At 47.5% G+C, this 21156-nt stretch overlaps 1 long non-coding RNA gene and 1 other non-coding gene across 4 annotated transcripts, besides 1 other annotated feature; one reads left to right on the top strand and one right to left on the bottom strand.

The window, feature by feature from the left end:
• Window positions 1–590: 590 nt before the first annotated feature.
• Window positions 591–6867, bottom strand: LOC105371822 (uncharacterized). 3 transcript variants are annotated; one of them, XR_007065844.1, is made up of 6 exons: window positions 6830–6867; window positions 5634–5741; window positions 5140–5196; window positions 1563–1750; window positions 1169–1267; window positions 591–678 (listed from the first exon to the last, which is right to left on the bottom strand). It is a non-coding gene; the product is annotated as an uncharacterized LOC105371822 (long non-coding RNA). The 3 variants fall into 3 exon arrangements; XR_007065843.1 differs by lacking the exons at window positions 5140–5196; window positions 5634–5741; window positions 6830–6867 and adding an exon at window positions 2234–2324; XR_007065845.1 differs by lacking the exons at window positions 1169–1267; window positions 5140–5196; window positions 5634–5741; window positions 6830–6867 and adding an exon at window positions 2234–2324 and having other exon boundaries at window positions 592–678.
• Window positions 5180–5750: an enhancer, noted in NCBI's record as "H3K4me1 hESC enhancer chr17:48335091-48335661 (GRCh37/hg19 assembly coordinates)". NCBI's record gives its function as "activates a minimal SCP1, AML or CMV promoter by ChIP-STARR-seq in primed H9 embryonic stem cells {active_cell/tissue: H9 hESC(primed)}" and the evidence as "EXISTENCE:reporter gene assay evidence [ECO:0000049][PMID:30033119]".
• Window positions 6868–18475: 11608 nt separating the features above from the next.
• LOC124904130 (small nucleolar RNA U13) lies at window positions 18476–18584 on the top strand. Its single transcript, XR_007066007.1, has one exon. It is a non-coding gene; the product is annotated as a small nucleolar RNA U13 (small nucleolar RNA).
• Window positions 18585–21156: the final 2572 nt, after the last annotated feature.

The raw sequence follows: 21156 nt of genomic DNA, 5'->3' as shown, positions 1-21156 counted from the left end.
GGACAACAGGGCCAGAGAGCAAACAGGGGAGCAGGAGCTGTATAAATAGCCCATTTTGGGGGAGCCCCCTCAGCACGGTGTCGGGCGGGTCTGCTTGCTGGAGAGGGAGGAAGGAGAACTGTGGTTGCCCCCAAGCAGCATGTAATTTAGGATTTATTTTGGGGCACTCTCTATAGCTCGGGGTGGAGCTGAAGTTAATTTAAAGGTTTAATGGGGTCGGGGGCTGGATGGGGAGGAGGAGAGGGAAGCCCTCCCACATTTGGCCTGGCTGGGAAGAGGGTCCTTTGCCAGTTGCCTGCCAACTTCTATCCCTGGGTCTGTTCCTGGGAGGTTTCTAGGACACCTCAGCTCTTGTTCCCAGATGCTCCATGCCTCTCCCTGAGTCTCAGGGTGCTTCTAGCCTGATGGAGAAGCTGGTTCTACCTTTGTCTGATGGAGCAGGCACAGGCTCTGCCCTCAGGGAGCCCTCAGTCTGAGGGGAGACAGGACACAAGCCCGGCCTTCAGAGTGGCCAGTCATGATGGCATCCCCCATCATGATTTTAATTTTTAGTCTTTACTTGTTCACGACTCTATATCTGTGTCTCTTCCTGGAACTTAAGATCCGTGACAGCAGGGACTTCTATCTGCCTCTCACAGCATCTTCGGCACTTGTCTAGCACCAAGCAAGCAATATTTCCTGAATGAATGAATGAATGAATGAACTGGGAAACAGCACCAGATCTGAAAGCCCCACGTCAAGAGGCAGCAGTGGATAAACTCTAAAGTCCTTCCGCATTCCAGCCTGTGTGATGTGGCCCTCCACCTTGCCGCCTCCCACCCCTCTGGCCACACTCTTCAGCCACCAGCCACTATGAGCACTGGCTGCCCTGGTGTCAGCCCCAGTTCCCACCTCCACCCCTTTCCTCACCGCACTCCCTCTTCCTGCAACTGCCTTTGCTCCCATTGCCACATGACTAAATCCTGCCAGTCCTTCAAGGCCCTACGCAGAGTCACCTCCAGGAAGCCCACTCAGATCCCTCCACTGGATCTAAACGTCCATAGCTTTTTCTCTGGGCCTCTTCTCTCACTGTGTCTGCATAGGCCTGCTGGGGTCATGGCTTCTCTCCCTTTTATGCCATAAGGCCCTGAGGGCCAGGATTGCCTGCAGTTGCCCTGGAGGCCGGTACCTTGTGGTGGCTCCATTGGAGGAAGTGTGAGCTGCTCAGTAGGCAGGTGGTCGTGTGTGCTCCTCTTTGCCCCAGCTTCTGGAAGCGCTGGGTGAGTCTCTGGTGAAAGGTGTATGTGGTGGTTGTTGGGGGTGTGGGGGGTGATTTCAGAAGCTAGGGAGGGCAACCAGGACCCCAGTGGGGTGGGAGTAGCACGAAGTTTCCCTTAGAAAGATGTTGAGCCTTCTGGTCTGAGAGACGAGGAGGAGATCGAGAGAAAGAGTACTATAGGGGAAAGACCGGGGGAGGGAGCGTAGAGGGGTGGGCAAGGGCTGGGGGACAGACAGAAGGAAAGGCTGGGGGACAGGGAGAAGCCTCTGGGTCCCTAGAACACATGTCCCTTCTTGGGCCTCACCTGCTTCATCTCTTGCCATTGGCACTGTTGGCTGTGCCTTGTCTAAGACCTCCTCCTGTGAGGCTTCAGGGGCTCTGGCTACTCATTCTCTGGCCTCTTTGCAGGCTGTGCCGGCTTCCTCTCTCTCCACCTTCTCCAGGGCACCTCCATGCGTCCAGCCATCTCATGGGCACCTCCACTTGGATGCCCTGCAGGTGTACCAAATGCAAGTGCAGCAGCAAACTCCCCAGCCCGACGATCAAGCTGAAACCTGGGGCTTTCAGATCTGGTGCTGTTTCCCAGTTCGTTTGTTCATTCATTCATTCATTCGTTCATTCATTCTTCAGAAGCCCAGGAGCCAGCCTGAGCAGATCACTGGCCCCCATCCTTCTGCCCATCAGTCACCAAGTCCTCTGGCTTCTGCCTTTTAAATCTCTTATCAGTCTGGCCACCTCTTTCCACCTGGCTGCCACTGGCCTGGGCCTGGCTACCATCACCTCTCACCTGGGCCTCTGTGGCAGCCTTCTAAGAGGTCACTCCACCTCCGTTCTGATTACCTTCCAACCCATCCTCCACAGCCTGCCCAGAAATCTTCCTAAGATGCACCCTAACAGCTCGCGCAGCTCCCAGGACCCTGGCCGCTCCCTCCAGGCCGGATGCTCCCGTGGGCCCTGCCCTAGGCACTGTCTTACCTCTGGGCCTTGCAAATGCTGCTCCCTCTGCCCTCCATGCTCTTCCTCCCGGGCTCCTCCTGGTCACCCCTCACTCTGGGAAGCCTTCTCTATGCTCTTCACACCAGAGGTTGGGTCAGGAGTCCCCTTCCCGGAGCTGCTGTCACCTTAATCTCCCCCATCACAGCACCCAGTATGGTAAATAGCGCCTCACCCTCTTCATCCGGAAGTTCCACCAGAGCAGAGGCCGTAGCAAGGCCTGGGGCAGAGTTTGCTGATGGAACATGCATTTGGGGAGACTGGGAGGGCAAGAGAGAAGAAAACTGAGGGCTTCCTCGAGGGGCTGGGCCTCTAAGGCAGTGTGGCGGGGGACCTCCCAGAGGATGGAGAGGAAGCCTCAGTTGGGGTGGTTGGGTGCTGGCCCTGGGCTCACAGTCAAGGTTGCCCTGTGCCTGCACTGTCCGTGGAGGCAGCCCCCACCCCCACACAGGCTGCTTGTCCTGTGGAGGTTTCCCTCCCCAGGAGACGGAGAGAGTCGGCAGGACTCCCACTGTGGGCCTTGGAGGGAAGAAGGCCTCTGCATCCTGGGGTGGGCCAAGGCTGCCTGCCAGCACCCAGCACCCAGCACCCACTGGCATCTTCCACAGCAGCCTTGGGTCTGCACAAACTGGCTACAAACACATATGACTGCATCTCACTCCAGTCCACAGCCATGCCAAGGAGGAGGATGCTACTCCCTGGGGCCCGCCTGCAGAGAGCCCCACGAGATCTTCCTTGAGGATTTGTTTTCTACCTTGAACTTTCACAGGCATTTTACTTCCTACCCCATGCTATGTCCTTGTATGTTTTAGTATCAAAATAATGCTTTCCATCACTTACCATTGGAAAAAAACGGACACTCGAAGAGATAAGGCAAATTATCAGGCCTGAGCTGTTCTTGCCCCTCTTCCTGGGTTTGGAAAGAGTGCAGAACCAGGAGCGATAGGCCTGGGCCCAGGCTTGGCCCTGCAGACGATGATGGCTAAGTCATCCATAGAATGGGCTGGTGAGCCTGCCGTGCCTTGCCTTAGGACAGTGGCCACCACTAAATGGAGCAGTGGGTGTGAAGACTAATGATTCACACATGGAACTTGAGGTGTCGGCTGGCTGTCTGGGGGCTGGGCCCCTCTCCAGGCCCCTCTGAGACTGGAGAAGCTGGAGGGAGCCTGAGGCCGACACCCCCAGCATGGCCGCCACCCAGATTCCCCCGAGCAGGCCGGGGACTGGGGGTCCAGGCAGCAGCTGCCCCCTCCCAGGCTAGAGGAAAGGGTGAGCTCACCCCCTGGCCCAGGCAGAGTGAGGGGGGTAGGAGACATAATTAAAATGCCAGAGGTTAGGAGGTGAAGTTACAATGGAAAGAATGAAGCCCCAGCCCTGCTGCCGCTGCTTCTCCCACCCCGCTCCCTTTGCCAAGCCCACATTTGATTTTTATTTCGGGAGCCGCCAGCACAGCACTTGGGAGGGAGTGGAGAAACCTCACTCCGGCTTGCCTTGCCAAGTCTGGAGCTGGGGCCACAGAGTGGGGAGGGGGCTCCTGGGACCCAGAGGAAGAGCCCAGAGGCCCCCACCCCAGGACCCAACGTCCTCAGGGATCAGGTGCCAGGGAAGGGTGGCACTTGGGGCAGGGAGTGGGCTTGGGAGGCCAGGAAGAGAGACCTCGAAACAATGAAGGCATTCCTCGATGTTTGCATGAGGCTTTGCGCCTTCACTTTACTCTGGAGGCTGACCCCGGCCTCTTTCCCACTCCCAGCGCTAACTCCGCCTGCCCCCAACACTGGAGACTTTCAGTGCCCACTGGCATGTGCATATTTGTGAAAGGGTTGCTGTGTGGCCCTGGGGAAGTTACTACCCCTCTCTGGACCTCAGTCTTCTCTCTGTGAAATGGGCAGGTTGGCAAGATTAGCAGGTTCAAACTGGGCTCTGCAAGGGTGTTGGAGGCCTGGGCCCTGCCCTCTCCTGGCCACCCTTTCCTGAGCACATCTCTTATCTGCCCCTTCTAGGGACTGGGGAGGTGGAGGCAGCGGTTGGCCCATCCCCTGAGCCCCCGCCGCCCCCCTGCAGACGGGAGCTGCTGGGGCCAACTCACATTTTCCTGCTCTCGGCTTTCTCCTCTGCCCATAATGCACTCCAGATGGTCTCTCCATCGGAGAGCCGAGGCAGCGGATTCCAGAGGGAAAGAGGTTGGGCTCCTCTTTCCACCGGGATGGAGAGGGCTGGGGTGAGGGCCCTCTGAAAAAATGGGGTGGGGGTGGGTCCAACTCCACAAGAGGAGGGTAGGTGGAGGGGAGATCTCCCGAGGCACCCCACTGTGCCACAGAGACAGGCCACAGCCCAAAGACCTCCTGGGTTCCCCCAAGGCTGTCTCCCTGTGGGGCAGCCCCACCCAGGAGCTGCTCAGGGGCTCCCGGGCCCTGGGGTGGAGGGGAAAAAGGCCTGCCTTTTCCAGTGTTTGGGAAAGAGCCAGACACAACTGGGTTCAAATCCCAGCCCTGCCACGTAGAGGCTGTGTAGCCCCTTGAGTGGGGCACCTGACTTCATGGAGCCTCAAGTCCCTCACCTGTAAAATGGGATGGGGCCAGGCATGGTGGCTCACCCCTGTAATCCCAGCACTTTGGGAGGCCGAGGTGGGTGGATCACTTGAGGCCAGGAATTTGAAACTAGCCTGGACAACATAATGAGGCCCTTCCTCAAAAAAAATAAATGAGTTAGGTGTGGTGGCTTGTGCCTGTAGTCTTAGGTACTTGGGAGGCTGAGGCAGGAGGATTGCTTGAGCCTAGGAGTTAGAGGGTGCCTTCAGTTATGACTGCGCCGCTGCACTGGAGCCTGGGCAACAGAGCAAAACCGTGTGTGTTAAAAAAATTTTTGTAAATGGGATGGCTAATACTGACCTTGGGGTGTCTGTGAGGGCCACATGGGATGATGTACAGAAAAGGCTTCTCATGTCCCTGGATGTTCAGGAAATATCCAGCAGTTGCCTGTGGAACCCTCCCCTCCTAGTACACAGCTCACCTCCCACTTAGGCAAAGTCTGAATGCTGAGAAAGCCTGTCCCAGGTCTGACTCGGCCCCCTCCTGCTGCAGCTTGACAGCACTTCCTTGGAAGACCCTCGGGGGATTTTAAATCACCCTTGGGAGACTGCTCTAGAGACAGGCCCAGGGAAGGAGGGTGCTACGAGCCTGAGGCTGAACCCAAGCCCAGTCCGACCTCCTCCCTGGCCCGGCCCCTCCACTTCAGCTGAGGCAGGACTTCCCACTGGGCCTAGAGAGCCACGTCGAAGTAAGAGGGCTGGGAAGGGGGTTGTGAGCAGGGGGCAGCCTCTCCCCGGCCAGGCCCCGCCTGCCCCTGGACTTCCCTGCCAGGACAGCCTCCCAGCCACGCTCACCCTCTCCGCCTCAGCAGTACCAGGGGGAGCGCTTCGATTTTTCCACCAGAGGAGCCAAGAGCGAATGAGAAACAAATCCAGCTCGACTGCCTGTCCCACTGCCTGCCCCTGCAGTGCATGGAGGGAGGGGAGAGTGAGCCCCCAGCCCTTTCCCTGCCTCCATTCCTAGGCACCAGCACCCAGGGGCGAAAGTCTCAGCCCCCTGGTTAGAGGGCGGGCAGTGGGTGCAGGACCTCCCTGGCCCACACCCACCATGAGGCGGAAAGTCTGGGGCCTTGGCTTATTGCTCCCCACCCCAGCCTTGGACAAGAACAAACACTGGAGGCTGCCCCCCCACTCCCCACTGCAAGTCTTGGGCTGGGGCCTCCATGTTGCGGGGGAGGGACAGAGTTGGATGGGGGTACAGTCACTGCTCTCAGATGGCCCCAGCTAGATAAAGAGATGGGGCCTCCATGACGCCTCCCGCTCTTCTCACTGAACTCTTTCCCCGCGGAGGGTCCCTCCCTTCACTGAGCCTCTTCCCCACATTTGGCCCCCTCCTCCACCTGAGCCCCAGTCCCTCACTGCATCCCATCCCTTCTCCATCTGCCCACACCACCGGGGCTGCCCTGCCCCTCTCCAGCTTCTCCACAGGGAGGTAGGCAGGACCCTACCACAATCCTATACCCCCAACAAGCAAGCTTGCTGGCTTCCCCCCACCCCCACCTGCAACCCCTGCTGTCCCCCAGGCTCAGAGGGCCCTACCCTCCTGCTCTGCCACCCACAGTCCCTGTTCTCCCTGGGCTGCCTCCACCTCCCACTTGATGAACTTCCTTCCCATCCACCGACAAATACACACTAGTGTCCCCCCACCATCCTGCGCTCCTGAGCCCCCAGATCACCTCTGGGCTCTCTCCTCCCCACCCCAGCCTCAATTTTTTTTGCAAGCACGGTCTCTACTTCCATCAATGTGGCTTACAGGTGAGACCCTGGAAAGAGCCACACCCAGGAATAAGGGCAAACTGGACCTAGACCAGCTTCACTGCATCAAGATGACTTCCCTGTATGCTATCTGGCTACCAGGAGGCAATCAAATTCTCCCTGAAAGAAGATGACATCAGCCACAGCCTCTACAGTCTGTCACCCGCAACATCCAACATTCCACAAAATTTGGCCAGGCAGCTCTCTTCCTCTTCCTCCTCCTCTTTCTTCCCCACCTTCTTCCTCCTCTCCTCCGTTTTCTTCTCTATTTCTTCTTCCTTTTCCTTCTTCTTTCTCCTCCTCTTCTTCCCCTCCTCCTCCTTTTTCTTCTTCCGTTTCTTTTCCTTTCCTTCCCTTCAAAAACAATTCAGTCTTCTGGTTGACATTAAACACAACAAAACAAAAACAATTCAGTCCAGAAGATATTGGGGAGGGTGGAGTAAGCAGGGGTCCCCAGGGGTAGGGTGGATGGGAGATGCAGTGGCTCAGCAAATGGTTCTGGAGCTCAAGTTAAGTGAGGAGGGTGTTGCCGATGTTGGGGGTGGCCAGAGCAGGAGAAAGAGGGACAGAGGAGGACATCCAAGTGGGAGGGCAGCCCAGTGTGGGATGTTAAAACCCAAGCAAGGTAGGGAGGATGTCCACTTGGGTCCCAGCTCAGCAAGGGAGAGTGAGTCATGAGAAAGGTGAAGAGGGCATCTGGCCAGGGTAGTGGCCAAGCCCCAAGAAGGGGAGTTCAAGGGGGATGAGAAGGGCATTCCTGCAGGAGTGGGCAGGGCATCCAGGGGGAGCTCGATGTGCAACCTCAGAGCCTGAGTGGAGGAGCACGTCCATGTGGGGAGGTGAGGGTAGGGTGGCCCCAGGCAGAGTGTCAGAGCCCACGAAGGCTGAGGGTTGCTTCCGTGTGGGTAAAGACGTGGCATGCTGGAGTCTGAGGGACAAAGAGGCATCCATGTTGTAGGCTGGCCCAGGGCAGGGTGTCAGAGCCCAGGATCGCTGAGGAGGGTCTGGGTGGGGTGGAGGGCATGGGATATCGGTTGCCGTGGAGGCTAAAGCAAATCCATCTTGGATACTAATCTGCCATGTTGACTTCTGAGTAACCCCAGTTCCAGGGATGCGTCTAAGATATCTACTTTAACTACTGTTAGCTAAATCTTGCCCTTAGGCATCTGCACATAGCATTCTTGCCTTTCCCCAGGGGGCCGATTTCAACTGTCCTAACATTGCCGCCCTGTGGTATACAAGCCCTGGGGTTGGGGGGCAACAGTGTGGGGATCCGCCATTTTGCTTGCTGATGTCAGACGTGACTTCTCGTTTTAATTCCTTGTTAAATGTTTCTTTCTGAGAAACTGGGTTTGTCAGCCTCTTTCTTTAGCCTCTCAGCTTCCTCACTTTTGGGAATAGCTTCATTACCTTTGGGGATAGGTTTGCCTGGACCTGCCCACTGCAGAACAGTTATATTCAGTAGAACTGACCCAGTGAGAAAAAGTGAGCTAGGTTTCTCACTGTTGGCAAAGAGAATTATAATATGGAAAAGAAGCCTGGGTGCAGGGGCCTATGCCTGTAATCCCAACACTCTGGGAGGCCAAGATGGGCAGATCATTTGAGCCTAAGAGTTCAAGACCAGCCTGGGCAATGTGGTGAGACCTTGTCTCTACAAACAATACAAAAAATTTGCTGGACGCAGGGGTACGTTCCTGTAGTCTCAGCTACTCAGAAGGCTGAGGTGGGAGGATCGCTTGAGCCCAAGAGGTCAAAGCTGAGGTGAGGCATGATCAGGCCACTGCATTCCAGCCTGAGTGACAGAGTGAGACCCTATCTCGAAAGAAAAGAGAAGAGAAGAGAAGAGAAGAGAAGAGGAGGAGGAAACAAGAATGAACTCTCTGATGTTCTCACCTGTAATCCTATACACCTGGATTGGAATTGGAGGTAATGGGAAGAACTCATTATTTCCAAAATACATGGAGAGATGTAGAGGCTGGGTGCAGTGGCTCATGCCTATAATCCCAACACTTTGGGAGACCGAGGTGGGAGGATCACTTGAGACCAGGCATTTGAGACCATCTTGGGTAACATAGTGAGATCCCATCTCTACGAAACAAGAATAAACAAAATAGCCAGGTGTAGAAATAAATATTGATGCAAATGCATGTATGTATGTGTTTATGTTGTGTGTGCATGTGTCAATGTGTGTATACTTATGTGTATACATACAGATATTTTCTGGCTTTATCCATTGAGAGGGCCTGGGAGCCATGACATATTAATAATAATGAGTGTAGTTAGCACCCAAGCCTTTTTTTTTTTTTTTTGAGATGGAGTCTCACTTTGTCACCAGCTGGAGTGTGGTGGCACAATCTCGGCTCACTGCAACCTCCACCTCCCTGGTTTAAGTGATTCTCCTGCCTCAGCCTCCCGAGTAGCTGGGATTACAGGAATCTGCCACCAAGCCCGGCTAATTTTTATATTTTTAGTAGATACGGGGTTTCACCCTGTTGGCCAGGATGGTCTCTATCTCTTGATCCACCCGTGATCCACACGCTTCAGCCTCCCAAAGTGCTGGGATTACAGGCATGAACCACCACGCCCAGCGCCTTTTTTTTTTTAAATCAGCTTACATCATGCTTTGATAGCACCCAAGTCTTTTTTTTTTTTTTTTTTTTTTGAGAAGGAGTTTCATTCTTGCTGCCCAGGTTGGAGTGCAATGGCATGACCTTGGCTCACTTCAACCTCTGCCTCCCGGGTTCAAGCGATTCTCCTGCCTCAGCATCCTGAGTAGCTGGGATTACAGGCATGTGCCACAACGCCCGGCTAATTTTGTATGTTTAGTAGAGACGGGGTTTCAGCATGTTGGTCGGGCTGGTCTCGAACTCCCAACCTCAGGTGATCTGCCTGCCTCAGCCTCCCAAAGTGCTGGGATTATAGGCGTGAGCCACCGCACCCTCCGACAGCACCCAAGTCTTAATGTCTAAGTGCCATTGTCCACTGGAAGAAACCAGGGCTCCTTAGCAAAATGGCTAATTACAGGGATAAGGCAGGGAAAGTACAAGATAAGCCTGAATCCTCTTGTGCCAGAAAATAAAGTGCTCAGAAATGATTAAACAGAGTGATCATAGGAACCAGCAATTCCATTCCTAAGGATACCCAAGAGAAATGAAAACCTATGTTTGTACAAAACTTGTGCAGGCTTACCTTGTTTTATTGCACTTCATTTTAGTGTGCTTCACAGATAATGCAGTTTTCACAAATCAAAGGTTAGCGCCAACACTGCACTGAGCAAGCCTATTGGCTTCATTTTTCCAACAGCATGTGCTCACTTTGTGTCTCTGTCACTTCCGGTAATTCTCAGAATATTTCAAACTTTTTCATTAGTACTGTATCTATCTGTTATGATGATCTGTGATCAGTGGTCTTTGATGTTACTATTGCAATTGTTTTGGAATTCCATGAACCATGCCCATAGAAGATGACAAGCTTAATCAATCAATGTTGTGTGTGTTCTGATTGCTCCGTCAACCAGCCATTTCTCCATCTCTCTCCCTCTCTTTGACCTCCCTGTGTCCTGAGACAAAACACTATTGAAATCAGGCCAGTTAATAACCTTACAATAACCTCTAAATGTTCAAGTGAAAGGAACAATCACACATCTCTCACTTTAAATCAAAGCTAAAAATTATTAAACTCATTAAGAAAGGCATGTTGAAAGCTGAGATAGGCCAAAAGCTAGGCCTCTTCTGCCAAATGGTTAGCTAAGTTGTGAATGCAAATAAGAGTTCTTGAAGAAAATTAAAAGTACTACTCCAGTGAACACACGAATGATAAAAAACTGAAATAGCCTTATGCTGCTGATATAGAGAAAGGTTTAGTGATAGAAGATCAAACAGCCACAACATTCCCTTAAGCCAAAGCCTAATCCAGGGCAAGGCCTCTTCAATTCTATGAAGGCTGAGAGAAACGAGGAAGCTGCAGAAGAAAAGTTACAAGTTACCAGCGGTTGGTTCATGAAGTTTAAGGAAATAAGCTGTCTCCAAAACATAAAAGTACAAGGTGAAGCAGCAACTGCTAATGGAGAAGCTGCAGCAAGTTATTCAGATCTAGCTAAGATCACTGATGAAGGTGGCTACACTAAACAACAGACTTTCTTTTTCTTTCTTTTTTTTTTTTTGAGATGAAGTCTCGCTCTGTCGCCAGGCGGAAGTGCAGTGGTGCAGTGGCATGATCTCGGCTCACTGCAACCTCCGCCTCCTGGGTTCAAGCGATTCTCCTGCCTCAGCCTCCCGAGTAGCTGGGACTACAGGTGCACGCCACTACACCCAGCTAATTTTTGTATTTTTAGTAGAGGTGGGGTTTCACCATGTTGGCCAGGATGGTCTTGATCTTTTGACCTCGTGATCTGCCCACCTAGGCCTCCCAAAGTGCTGGGATTACAGGCATGAGCCACTGTGCCTGGTTCCCAGACTTTCGATGTAGATAAAACAGCCTTCTATTGGAAGAAGATGCTACCTAGGACTTTCACAGCTAGAGAGGAGAAGGCAATGCTTGGTTTCAAAGCTTCAAAAGACAGGCTGACTCTCTTGTTAGGGACCAATGCAGCTGATGACTTTAAGTTGAAGCCAATGCTCAATTACCATCGCAAAAACCCTAGGGTTGTTGTCTGGGTGCAGTGGCTCATGCCTGTAAACCCAGCACTTTGAAAGGCCAAGGCAGGTGGATTGCCTGAGGTCAGGAGTTCGAGACCAGCCTGGCCAACATGGTGAAACCCCATCTCTACCAAAAAATACAAAAATTAGCTGGGGGTGGTGGCCTGCACCTGTAGTCCCAGCTACTGGGGAGGTTGAGGTGGTAGGATCTTTTGAAACTGGGAGGCAGAGTTGCAGTGAGCCGACATCACACCATTGTACACCAGCCTGGGCAATAGAGTAAGACCCTGTCTTGAAACAAAAAACAAAAAAACCCAAGCCCTAGTCTTGTTAAGAATGATGCTATATCTACTCTGCCTGCGGTCTAGGAATTGAACAACAAAACCTGGATGACAGCACATCTGTTTACAGAAACGTTTACTGAATATTTTAAGCCCATTGTTGAGGCCTACTGTTTAGAATAAGATTTCTTTCAAGATACTACTGCTCATTGACAATGTACCTGATCACCCAAGAGCTCTGATGGAGATGTACATGGAGATTAATGTTGTTTTCCTGCCTGCGAACACAGCATCCATCTTGCAGCCCACAAAACAAGGAGTAATTTTTACTTTTAAGTCTTATCATTGAAGGAATTTATTTCCTAAAGCTATAGGAAATGCCAGAGATAGTGATTCCTCTGCTGGATCTGGGCAAGGTAAAGCTTCTGGAAGGGATTCACCATTCTAGATACCATGGAGAACATTTATGATTCATGGGAGGAGGTCAAAACACTAACATTAATAGGAGTTTGGAAGAAGTTGATTCCAATCCTAATGAATGACTTTGAGGGATTCAACAGTTCAGTGGAGGAAGTAACTGCAGATGTGGTTGAAATAGCAAGGAACTAGAATTGGTAGTGGAGCCTGATGATGTGACTGAATTGCTGCGATCTCATGGTAAAACTTGCACAGATGAGGAAATGCTTCTTATGGATGAGCCAAGAAAGTGGGTTTTTGAGATGGAATCTATTCCTGGGGAAGATGCTGTGAACATTGTGGAAACAACAACAAAGGATTTAGAATATTTCATAAACTTAGCTGATAAAGCAGCAGTAGGGTTTGAGAGAATTGACTACAATTTTGAAAGAAGTTCTACTGGTGTAAAATGCTTTCAAATAGTGTCACATGTTACAGAAAAATCTTTCTCGAAAGAGTCAATCGATGTAGCAAACTTCACTGTTGCTTTATTTTAAGAAATTGCCAATTGCCACAGCCACCCCAACCTTCAGCAGCCACCACCCTGACCAGTCAGCAGCTATCACCATGGAGGTAAGACCATTCATCAGCAAAAAGATTATGACTTGCTGAAGGCTCAGGTGATTGTTAACATTGTTAACTTTTCTTTTTTTTAAGCAATAATGTATTTTCTTTCTTTCTCTTTCTTTCTTACTTTCTTTCTTTCTTTCTTTCTTTCTTTCTTTCTTTCTTTCTTTCTCTTTCTTTCTTTCTTTCTCTCTTTCCTTCCTTCATTCTTTCCTTCCTTCCTTTCTTTATTTTTTTTAAATAGAGATGAGTTCTCACTATGTTGCCCAGGGTGGTCTTGATTTCCTGAGTTCAAGTGATCCTCCCACATTACTTTTTTTTTTTTTTGAGACAGAGTCTCACTCTGTCGCCCAGGCTGGAGTGCAGTGGTGCGATCTTGGCTCACTGCAACATTTGCCTCCTGGGTTCAAGCGATTCTCCTGCCTCAGCCTCCTGAGTAGCTGGGATTATAGGTGTACATCAACATACCTGGCTAATTTTTCTATTTTTAGTAGAGACGGGGTTTCACCATGTTGGCCAGGCTGGTCTCGAACTCCTGGCCTCAAGTGATCTGCCAGCCTTGGCTTCCCAAAGTCCTGGGATTATAGGAGTGAACCACTGTGCCTGGCCAAACATAACTTTTATATGCACTGGGAAACCAAAGTACTCACGTGACTCACATTATTGCAATGTTCGCTTTATTGTGGCAGTCTGGAACTGAATTGGCAATATCTCTGAGGTATGCCTGTATGTGAATTTTTATAACATTTTTCATAATAGCCACAAGTTAGAAACAACCCCCATGCCCAGCAATGGATGGATAAACAAAATATAGTACAGTCTTACAATGGAATATTATTCAGCCATAAAAAAGGATGAAGTAATTGTACATGCTATAACCTGGATAAACCTCAAAAACGTTATGCTAAGTGAAAGAAGCCAGTTACCAAAGACTACATATTGTATGATTCCATTTGTATTAACTATGTAGAATAAGGAAATATACAGAGACAGAAAGTAGATTAGTAGCTGCCAGGGGCTGGAGTGGGTGGGAGGATAGGGGGATGATAGCTAAATGTTACAAGACTTGTTTTAGAGGTAATGAAAGTGTTCTAAAATTGGCTGTGGTGATGGTGGCACGTATCTGTGAATACACTTAAAACCATTGAATTGTACACTTTAAATGGGTGAATTGTAACATACATGAATTATACCTCAATAAAGCTGTTCAAAAAAAAAAAAAAAGAAAAGAAAAGTGCTCAAAGAATGAGCAATGGAGACGTGTCAAAACAATACGGAAGCCAGCTAGAAGGGGCTTCCACTGGCTGCAGCTGGAAAGTTTGAGCGTCACAATAAATAATAATATCAATGGATTATAACTTACAGAATAAAATAGGAATCCATGACTCTATACTGTTGTAAATACATGAATACGTGGGATGTTTGTTGAGGAATGGGCTATTTACTTATTCTCAAAGCACCTTTCCACAAAATACTTATTAATTACAAAGAGAAAATCAGTAACTTTGCAGGGGAGAAACCTATCAGACACCACCTTAATCAAATGACCAAAGTGGACATGAACAGCAATGGGATAAATTAGAATCATGTACCATCTATAGGATGCAGTGAGAAAGACAGCATCACTTCTGTGATATTCCTGCACACAATACATAACCTGAATCTAATCATGGAGAAACACTGAATGAGCCCAAATTAAGGGGCATTCTAGAAAATAACTGGCTCATAATCTATGAAAGTGTCATCGAAGTTAAGAACAGATTAAAAAACTGTTCCAGATTTAAAAAGACCAGAGATAACTGAGAACTACATGGAATATGTGATACTGTACTGGATCCTTTTGCCATAAAAACATTATTGGGCACACTGGTGAAATTTGAATAGAGTCTGTGCTGTGGATTAGCTGGCAGTAATCTACCAGTGTTAATTTCCTGATTTTGATGGTAGTTTTATGGTTACCTAGGAGGATGTCCTTGTTCATAGGAATTACAAATGGAAGTGTTTGAGTGGTGATGGCAACTTAATCTCAAATGATTTCAGGAAAAATGTTCTTTGTACTATAGTTGTGATCTTTCTGTACATTTGAGACTGCTTCAAAGTTAAAAAAAATTCTACTATGACTTAGAAGGGATTGAAAAACATCCATGCATGTGAAGAAGAAACTGGACTAATACCTGAAAACCAAGAGAAAAGCAAACCATAGAAAATACAATCTCACAGGAGATCCAGATACTGGAGTTATCAGTTGGAGTTTTGAACTAACTATCATTACTTTGTATAAGAAAATAGATGAAAAGCTGGATAGTTTCACCAGATGATTGGAATTAATAGAAAATGAAAAATCAAGTGGAGTCCTAGAGTGGAAAAAAATATAATAACTGAAATTGAGAATTCATTTCACAGGACTACAGGCAGATTAGATAGAGCAGAAGAGGGAATTAGTGAATCGGAAGACAGGTCAGTAGAAAATACTTCGATTGTAGCATAGACAGAAAAAGGGTAGAGAACACAAAAATGTCATTAATATTATATGCAGCACAATAAAAACTTCTGTCATAGGTATTTCTGGAGTCCAAAAAGGAGAAGAGAGAGAGAATGGGGTAGAGACAATATTACTGGCCAAAATTTTTCTATAACTAACACAAGACATCAAGCTAAACAGGTTTAATACAAAGAAATCATACTTAGGCACATTGTACTTAAACTGCAAAATATTAAATTCAAAGGGAAAAATCTGGAAAGCACCAAGAAAACAAAAGCATATTTCTCCAAAGAAACAACCATAGACTGACAAATTGAAATTATATTTGAGATGAAAATCACAAAATCTAAATATAGATTTTTTTTTAAACCTAGCCCAGGTTGAAGTGCAGTGGTGTGATCTTGGCTCACTGCAACCTCTGCCTCCCGGGTTCAAGTGAGTCTCGTGCCTCAGCCTCCTGAGTAGCTAGTGAAATTCCTGAGGTCAGGAGTTTGAGACCAGCCAACATGGTGAAACCCTGTCTCTATTAAAAATACAAAAATTACAAATACAAAAATTAGCCAGGCTTGGTGGTGGGCAGCTGGATAGTTTCACCAGACAATTAGAATTAATAAAAAATGAAGAATCAAGTGGAGTCCTAGAGTGGAAAAAAATATAGTAACTGAAATTGAGAATTTATTTAACAGGACTAAAGGCAGATTAGATAGAGCAGAAGAGGGAATGGATTCCTATTTCACCAATTTTCCTTTTTCTCTCTATGCTACAAGCAAAGTATTTTCTACTGACCTGCTTCCAATTCACTAATTCCCTCTTCTGCTCTATCTAATCTGCCTTTTGTCCTGTGAAATAAATTCTCAATTTCAGTTATTATATTTTTTCACCACTCTAAGACTCCACTTGATTCTTCATTTTTTATTAATTCCAATTATCTGGTGAAACTATCCGGGTGCTGCCATCAAGCCTGGCTAATTTTTGTATTTGTAATTTTTGTATTTTTAGTAGAGACAGGGTTTCACCATGTTGGCCCAGCTGGTCTCAAACTCCTGACCTCAGGTGATCTACCTGCCTTGGCCTCCCAAAATGCTGGGATTACATGCATGAGCCACTGTGCCCGGCCCTAAATATAATTTGAATGTATTTTGAATGGATGGGATTAACAGCAGATGAAATATCACAGAAGAAAAGGTCAGTAAACGTGAAGATATATGAAGACATTATCAGCAAAAAGTTTCTGAAAGGAAGAACGTGGAAAGAAATAACCAAAAACATAACAGAGCCATGGTTATTCCCAGGATATATCAAGTGCTCTCACATACTTGTAGTTGAAGTCCAGAAAGAGAGGAGAAACAGGAAAACAGAAAAATATTTGAAGAAATAATGACCAAAAGTTTTCCAACTTTGATGAAAACTAGAAACTCAAAGATCCAAGAATCTCAATACCAACTATAAAGATAGTAAACGGCAGCAAGATTCATTATAATCAAACTGCTGAAAATCTGAGATGATGAGAAAATCTTAAAAGAAGCCAGAGGGAAAAAGACATTGTATATGGAAGGACAAAGATAACAATTATCATGGACTTATTGTCAGAGACAACGTAAGCCAGAAGATAATAGAACACAATTTTTTAAGTTGTGGAGAAAAAAAGTACTCTCAACGTAGATCTCTAACCCAAGTGAAAATATCTTTAAAATGATGGCAAAATAAAGACTTTTTCACACACACAAAGAGTAAGAGACTTTGGCATCAGTCGACCTACACTATAAGAATGTTAAAGAGACTAGGCATGGTGGCTCACTCCTGTAATCCCAGCACTTTGGGAGGCCAAGGCGGGTGGATCACTTGAGGTAAGGAGTTCAAGACCAGCCTGCCCAACATGGTGAAACCCTGTCTCTACTAAAATACAAAAATTAGCTGAGCGTGGTGGCAGGCACCTGTAATCCTAACTACTAGGGAGGCTGAGGCAGGAGAATTGCTTGAACCCAGGAGGCAGATGTTGCAGTGAGCCAAGATCATGTCACTGCATTCCATCCTGGGGGACAGAGTAAGACTCTGTCTCAAAAAAAAAAAAAAAAAGAAAAAAAAATGTTAAAGAAAGTTTTTCAGGCAGAAGGAACGTGATACCAGATGGAAACTTGGAGCTACACAAAGGAATAAATAAAACAAGAAATGGAAAATATGTGAGTAAATGTAAAATATATTTTTCTCATTTAAAATTTAGTTTAAAAGATCATCAGCTACCTAAAGAAAAAAGCATAACAATGTACTATGGGGTTTATAACATATGTAGAAATAAAATGTATGATAACAATACCATGAAGCATAAAGGGGCGAAAAGAAAATATGCCAGTTTAACCGGGCGCGGTGGCTCACGCCTGTAATCCCAGCACTTTGGGAAGCCGAGGCAGGCGGATCAGAAGGTCAGGAGATCAAGACCATCCTGGCTGACACGGTGAAACCCCGTCTCTACTAAAAATACAAAAAATTAGCCGGGCGTGGTGGCGGGCGCCAGTAGCCCCAGCTACTCGGGAGGCTGAGGCAGGAGAATGGCGTGAACCCAGGTGGCAGTGCTTGCAGTGAGCTGAGATCATGCCACTGCACTCCAGCAGCCTGGGTGACAGAGCGAGACTCTGTCTCAAAAAAAAAAAAAAAAAAAGAAGAAGAAAATATGCTAGTTTATGTTTCTAACTTTTACATGATGTGATATAATGTTGTTTGGAGGAAAACTGTGATAAACTAAAGATGCGTATTGTAAACCTTAGAGCACGGGTTGGCAAACTTTTCCTGTAAAGGGCCAGATAGTAAATATGTCAGGTGTTGAAGGCCATACAGTCTCTTTTGCAACGATTAACTCTACTGTTTTATCAAGAAAGTAGCTGTAGAAAATATTTAAATGAGTGAGCATGGCTGTGTTCCAATAAAACTTTATTTGTGGACTCTGAAATTTGAATTTATGCCATTTTCATATATCCCCAAAATATTATTCTTTTGAATCATTTCAACTTAAAAAAATTTTTTTTGAGACAGAGCCTTGCTCTGTTGCCCAGGCTGGAGTGCAGTGCCACAATCTCAGCTCACTGCAACCTCCGCCTCCCAGGTTCAAGTGATTCTCATGCTTTAGCCTCCCGAGTAGCTGGGACAAAGGTGTGCACCCCCACACCTGGCTAATTTTTGTACTTTTAGTAGAGACAAGGTTTCACCATGTTGTCCAAGATGGTCTCAAACTCCTGGCCGCAAGGGATCCGCCTGTCTTTGGCCTCGCAGAGTGCTGGGATTACAGGCGTGAGCCACTGTGCCCCCACCCATTTCAACTTTTAAAAAATGTAAAGCATTTTGGGAAGCCAAGGTGAAAGGATTGCTTGAGGACAGGAGTTTGAGGCTGCGGTGAGTTATGATGGCTCTACAGCACTTCACTCAGGGTGAGAGAGTTAAGACTTTCTCTCAAAAACAGAGAGAGAGATTCTTTTGCTGTTCGTAAGCATAAGGATCAGGTATTCATGGTCATGTGTAAGACGTGCCTCCCTCCAACCTTGTTACGATGTGGACGTCAGCACATACCCATTTGATGATCTGACATGAGGGGAAAAAAAGTAAAAAGTAGGCTGGGAGCGGTGGCTCAAGCCTGTAATCCCAGCCCTTTGGGAGGCTGAGGCTTGTGGATCACCTGAGGTCAGGAGTTCCAGACCAGCCTGGCCAACATGGAGAAACCCCGTCTCTACTAAAAATACAAAAAAATTAGCTAGGCATGGTGGCGGGTGCCTGTCATCCTAGCTACTCGGGGGGCTGAGGCAGGAGAATTGCTTAAACCCTGGCGGGTGGAGGTTGCAGTGAGCCAAGATCGCGCCACTTCACTCCAGCCTGGGCAACAAGAGCGAAACTCCGTCTCAAAAAAAATAAAAATAAAAATTATTCTTTTTTTTTTGAGATGGAGTCTTGCTCTGACTCCAGGCTGGAGTGCAATGGCACAATCTTGGCTTACTGCCACCTCCACCTCCTGGGTTCAACTGATTCTCCTGCCTCAGCCTCCCAAGTAGCTGGGACTACAGGCACGAGCCACCATGCCCGGCTAATTTTTGTATTTTTAGTAGAGACAGGGTTTCACCATGTTGGCCAGGCTGGTCTCGATCTTTTGACCTCATGATCCGCCTGCCTTGGCCTCCCAAAGTGCTGGGATTACAGGCGTGAGCCACCTCGCCCAGCCGTAAAACTTATTCTTAACAAATCTCTCAGCCAGAAGAATTTCAAATAACTTACGTAGATAGTCTGCCCTCAACCAGTGGAGCATAACTCCCCACTCCTTAAATGTGAGCTGGCATAAAGACTTCCTTCCAAAGATTACAGTGTGGAAAGGGAGAGAAATGAGTAAATTTAGAGAAACCTGGCAAATGCTAACCTCAGCTGGGTGATCAAAGTCAATATCAATATGAGAAGTCAGGCCGGGCGTGGAAGTTGCAGTGAGCCAAGATCGCACCACTGCACTCCAGCCCGGCCACAGAGCGAGACTCTGTCTCAAAACAACAACAACAACAACAACAACAACAATAATAATAATAATAATAATAATGATGATGATAAGTCAGGTTGTCAGTATGTACTTTTTTTTATTTTATTTTTTGAGACAGGGTCTCCCTCTGTTATCTAGGCTGGACTGCAGTGGTGCGATCTCGGCTCACTGTAACCTCCGCCTCCCAGGTTCAAACGATTCTTCTGCCTCAGCCTCCCAAGTAGCTGGGACTACAGTCCTACTCCATCATGCCCAGCTAATTTTTTATATTTTTAGTAAAGACAGAGTTTCATCATGTTGGCCAGGCTGGTCCTGAACTCCTGACCTCAAGTGATCTACGCGCCTTGGCCTCCCAAAGTGCTGGGAGTACAGGTGTGAGCCACTGCGCCCGGCCTGATGGTATGTATTCTTGACCTGATGTGATGAAAATGGCACTTTTACCTTTGTAGTCTTCCTTCGTAAAACCGATAACCCTAGTTTAACCATGAGAAAAACATTAGGTAAATCCCAAAGGAGGGATGTTCTATAAAATGCCTGACCAATACTCCTCAAAACCATCAAGGTCATTAAAAAAAGGATAGTCTGAGAAACTGTCACAGACTTGAGGAGCCTGAGGAGATATGATGACTAAATAAATGTGATATCTTGGATGGGATCCTGGGTCAGAAAATAGACATTAGGTTAAAACTAAGGCAATCTCCCAAGTGTCCATTCATTGACAGATGAAGGGGTAAACAAAGTGTGCGATATCCATACAATGGAACATTATTCAGTGTTAAAAAGGCAGCTGGGCACGGGGGTTCAGGCCTGTAATCCCAGCACTTTGGGAGGCTGAAGCGGGTGGATCACTTGAGGCCAGGAGCTTGAGACTAGCCTGGCCAACACACTGAAACCCTGTCTCTACTAAAAATAGAAAAAGTTAGCTGGGGGTAGTGGTGCATGCCTGTAATCCCAGCTACTCGGGAGGCTGAGGCAGGAGAATAACCTGAACCCAGGAGGCGGAGGTTGCAGTGAGTCGAGATCGCGCCACTGCACTCCAGCCTGGGGGACAGAGTGAGACTCTGTCTCAAAAAATGAATAAATAAAAAATAAATAATAAAAATTAAAAGGAAAGAAATTCTGACACATGCTACAACATAGACATTATGCAAAGTGAAATAATAAGCCAGTTACAAAAAGACAAAGACTGTTATGATTCCACTTACATGAGACACCTAGGATATCTAGAGAAACAGAAAGTAGAATCATGGTTGCCAGGGGCTGAAGGCAGGAGGAAATGGAAAATTGTTTAATAGCATAGAGTTTTAATTTTTTAAGATGAAAAAGTTGAGATTGGTCGCACAATGGTGTGTATATGCTTAACACTATTGAGCTCTATACTTAAAAATAGTGAAGATGGTAAATTTTATGTTAAATGTATTATACCACAGTTTAAAAAATACTAAGGAAATCAGGCCAGGTGCTGTGGCTCACACCTGTAATCCCAGCACTTCGGGAGGCTGAGGCGGGTAGATCACTTGAGGTCAGGAGTTTGAGACCATCCTGACCAACATGGTGAAACACCATCTCTACTAAAAATACAAAAATTAGCCAGGCACTGTGGCAGGCACCTGTAATCTCAGCTACTTGGGAGACT

The sequence above is a fragment of the Homo sapiens genome, chromosome 17, assembly GCF_000001405.40.
Source record: "Homo sapiens chromosome 17, GRCh38.p14 Primary Assembly".
Classification (NCBI taxonomy): domain Eukaryota; kingdom Metazoa; phylum Chordata; class Mammalia; order Primates; family Hominidae; genus Homo; species Homo sapiens.
Note: the sequence above shows the minus strand (reverse complement) of the source record. Positions and strands in the feature narration are given on the sequence as shown.